Source organism: Homo sapiens, chromosome 1, assembly GCF_000001405.40.
Source record: "Homo sapiens chromosome 1, GRCh38.p14 Primary Assembly".
NCBI lineage: Eukaryota > Metazoa > Chordata > Mammalia > Primates > Hominidae > Homo > Homo sapiens.
In genome coordinates this window covers 22,373,334-22,376,794 of record NC_000001.11, presented here as the reverse complement: position 1 = coordinate 22,376,794, position 3,461 = coordinate 22,373,334, and the positions used below count along the sequence as shown (strand labels likewise).

At 50.9% G+C, this 3,461-nt stretch overlaps 1 annotated feature.

The window, feature by feature from the left end:
* Window positions 391–891: an enhancer, noted in NCBI's record as "H3K4me1 hESC enhancer chr1:22702397-22702897 (GRCh37/hg19 assembly coordinates)". NCBI's record gives its function as "activates a minimal SCP1, AML or CMV promoter by ChIP-STARR-seq in naive H9 embryonic stem cells {active_cell/tissue: H9 hESC(naive)}" and the evidence as "EXISTENCE:reporter gene assay evidence [ECO:0000049][PMID:30033119]".

Genomic DNA, 3,461 nt, shown 5'->3' with positions numbered 1-3,461 from the left:
TGAACTCAGACCGAGAACTCACTTGTCACCAAGTGGATGGCACTAAACCAGTCATGAGGGATCCGCCCCCATGATCCAATCACCTTCCACTAGGCCCCACCTCCAACACTGAGAATCGAATTTCAATATCAGATTTGGAGGCGAGAAACATTCAGACCACATCAGCGTGCTAGCACTAAGAAGATAAAACTCTTTCATTACCCTTTCATTTGCTCCTAAATGCTGGCAAAATTTAGGGGTGCCTTCGACACAAGAGTCAGAGGTTTGTGTTGTCCTGGGCTCCTCCCACCCAGTTCCAATTTGACTCCAGGCACATCCACCCTATCTCTGTGATTTCCTCTTGGTTTCATGACAGAGTTAGGGGAAATGGCCTCTTCTGGTTTGGAAATGCCGAGCCATGATGTCCCTCTGTGGCTGGGACAATGATACCGACAGCTACCGCTTCCAGGGCATTCACTGAGTGCCTGGCTAAATGCTCCACAGACAGGTCCCCCTTAATCTTGCCAGTGGCCTGAAGTGGGCAGGGTGGGAGAGTTATTCCCATTTTACACTCGAGGAATCTGTGAGTCAGAGAAGTGAAGGACTTTCAGCTGCAGTCACAGCTGCCAAGTGACGGAGCTCGGCTTCAATCCTGGTTCTATGCAATGCTAGAGTCCACACTGTCCATCTCTGCTCTGATGAAGGCAGATTCCTGCCCACAAGTGAAGTTTGGTTCTGTTTGGAGTAAGAGAGCAGGGAGAGGGCAGGGTTGCCAATTTGCAAGTGGTCAGAAAGAAACTTCCACAGTGCTGGAGATTTCCTGAGACTCACCCCGACCGAACAAGGTCCTGATTTCCATTGCACCAGCCCCACGGATGCGACTTGTGTGGGGGCAGGCTGCATGGGGACAGGCCTGCAGGGAGCAGGGCTTTGGCAGGGCACACCCTCCAGGGCTCATCTCAAGCTTCCTGGTTGTAGGGTAACCGAGGTCACTAGGCAGCTGGGGAGGGGTGGGAACCAAATGTTTGCCGAGCATCCACTGTGTTCCCAGAACTCTACTGGGCTAAGTCGGATACCAGGAATCATGACTGTCATAATCATTGCGGGCAGAGATTCTTAGGTTGTTAGTGCAACAAGCAACCCCAGAGGCCAGTTTGCTTGGGGTTTTCAAACTCATGGCCATCAGGGCCAGGCAGGCGACATTCATGAGTACAGCAGGAGGGGCATGAAGGCTGGTATGAATGGAGTATCGCTGGGAATGGGAGAGCACAGTCCCCTCTCTAAAGGGGACGGCCACGACTCAGCATCTGCCATGTGGAGCCGTGGGACTTGGGCTGCCACATCTCCTGATTTTTCCAAGAGAACCTAGAAATCTCAGGTGAACGCCTCCAGTCTTGAAAATCAGATTTGGGGGCCAGGCACGGTGGCTCATGCCTGTAATCCCAACACTTCGGGAGGCCGAGGCAGGAAGATCACCTGAGGTCAGGAGTTCGAGATAACCCTGGCCAGCGTGGTGAAACCCCATCTCTACTAAAAATACAGAAATTAGCCAGATGTGGTGGCACATGCTTGTAATCCCAGCTGCTCGGGAGGCTGAGGCAGGAGAATCGCTTGAACCCAGAGGTGGAGGTTGCAGTGAGCCAAGATCATGCACGCCATTGCACTCCAGCCTGGGTGACAAGAGTGAAAACTCCATCTCAAAAAATAAAAAAATAAAAAATAGAAACAGATTTGGGCTAGGCATGGTGGCTAACACCTATAATCCCAGCACTTTGGGAGGCCAAGGTGGGAGGATCACTGGAGCCCAGGAATTTGAGACCATCTTAGGCAACATGGTGAGACCTCATCTCTACAAAAAGTACAAAAACTAGCTGGGCGTGGTGGCCGGCACCTGTAGTCCCAGCTACTTCAGTGGCTGAGGTGAGAGGATTGCTTGAGCACAGGAGGTTGAGGCTGCAAAGAGCCATGTTTTTGCCACTGCTCTGCAGCCTGGGCAACAGAGCAAGAACTTGTCTAAATAAATAAATAAATAAAAATAAATAAATAAAAACAAATTTGAATTACAGAAGGACACTATGTAGGCTAAACTAACATGTCTGCAGGTTTAGTGACCTTACCTTGCTTTACCATTGGGGATACTGAGGCCCAGAGAGGGGACGCAAGGTGCCCACGGCCGGAGCAAGAACCAGATCTTTTGCCTTCTGGGGCTGTGGTCCTGACCCTGGGCCACTGGGCCGCTTGCGTGTGTCCAGCATGGGGCAGTTCACACAGCACTTCCGTGCCCAGGATCTCAGTTAGTTTTCATCTCAACCCCAGGAGGGGGCAGGGTGGGGGCAGTCCCCTCCATTTTATAGATAAGGAAGCAGAAGCTCAGAAGAGCCCAGGATGGTGCCCAGACCCCACTGCTAGTAAAAGGACTGCAGACACCTGGTTCCCCCTGCAGGGTCTGCTCTCCTGCTTGGTGTTCAGTCTTGTGGTCTGAGTTTCAGCCTGTGTCAGGCCATCCAGAAGCCTGCAGCTTGTCAGGAGAGAGATGATATGTATGGGTAAGAGACAAGACTCAAATGAAACATGCTCAGTGGAGCACAAATGTGTGAGACAGGCAATGAGTAGGAAATCATGGCAGTAGCTGACTTGGGTAAGGTCCAGAGCTAAATGCTTTACATGAATTATCACATTAAGTCTGCCCAACTACCCCCATGAGAGAGGTACTATTATTTTACTAAGGAAAACTAAGGCACAGAGGTTAAGAGCCTCATCAACGTCATACATAGGAGTTGATAGAGCTGGAATTTTAACCCAAATGGTCTGGATCCAGAAAGCCCATGCTCTGGAAATAGTACTGGGAAGTTGGCAGTTGACTGGCACCAGCAGGGAGGATGCCTAGGGACCCCCCAGGAAGGTGGCTGAGCATGAGCAAATGCTTGGAGGCAGGAATCTGCCAGTTGATTGACGATTAGTAAAGAATCTAGCTGGCTAAGGATGTCAGAGCTGGGCCAGTGCTGAGACAATGGGACCCAAGCCCCTCAGTGTCAAGAGGATGTTCTGAAAGGTTTAGGCTGTAGGCCACACAGCAACTTGGTGGAAGAAACAGGACCAGATCCCAAGTATCCGATCTCCCACCTGCATTTCCTGCTGCTCCCTTCACCCCTAGCTTTGCTCACACAATGCCCAGGTATGTTTGAATTTCCATGCATGGGATTTCCTCAAGGTGGAACCCACAAGTGTCAGAATCCTATCTGCCTCACCTCTCTATTGCTTCATCCTGTGTTATCCTCCCAAAACTGAGTGGGTTAAAACAATAATAGTTGTATGATCTCTTGTGAGTCTGCAATTGACAGGGCTCAGCTGGTGGCTCTTCTGTTCCACATGGCACCCTCTGGGGGCTGCAGTCATCTGTGGGGAGCTCAACTGGGCTGGAATATCCAAGATGGCACATTCACATGACCAGTGATTGATGCTGGCAGAAGGCTGGGAACTGA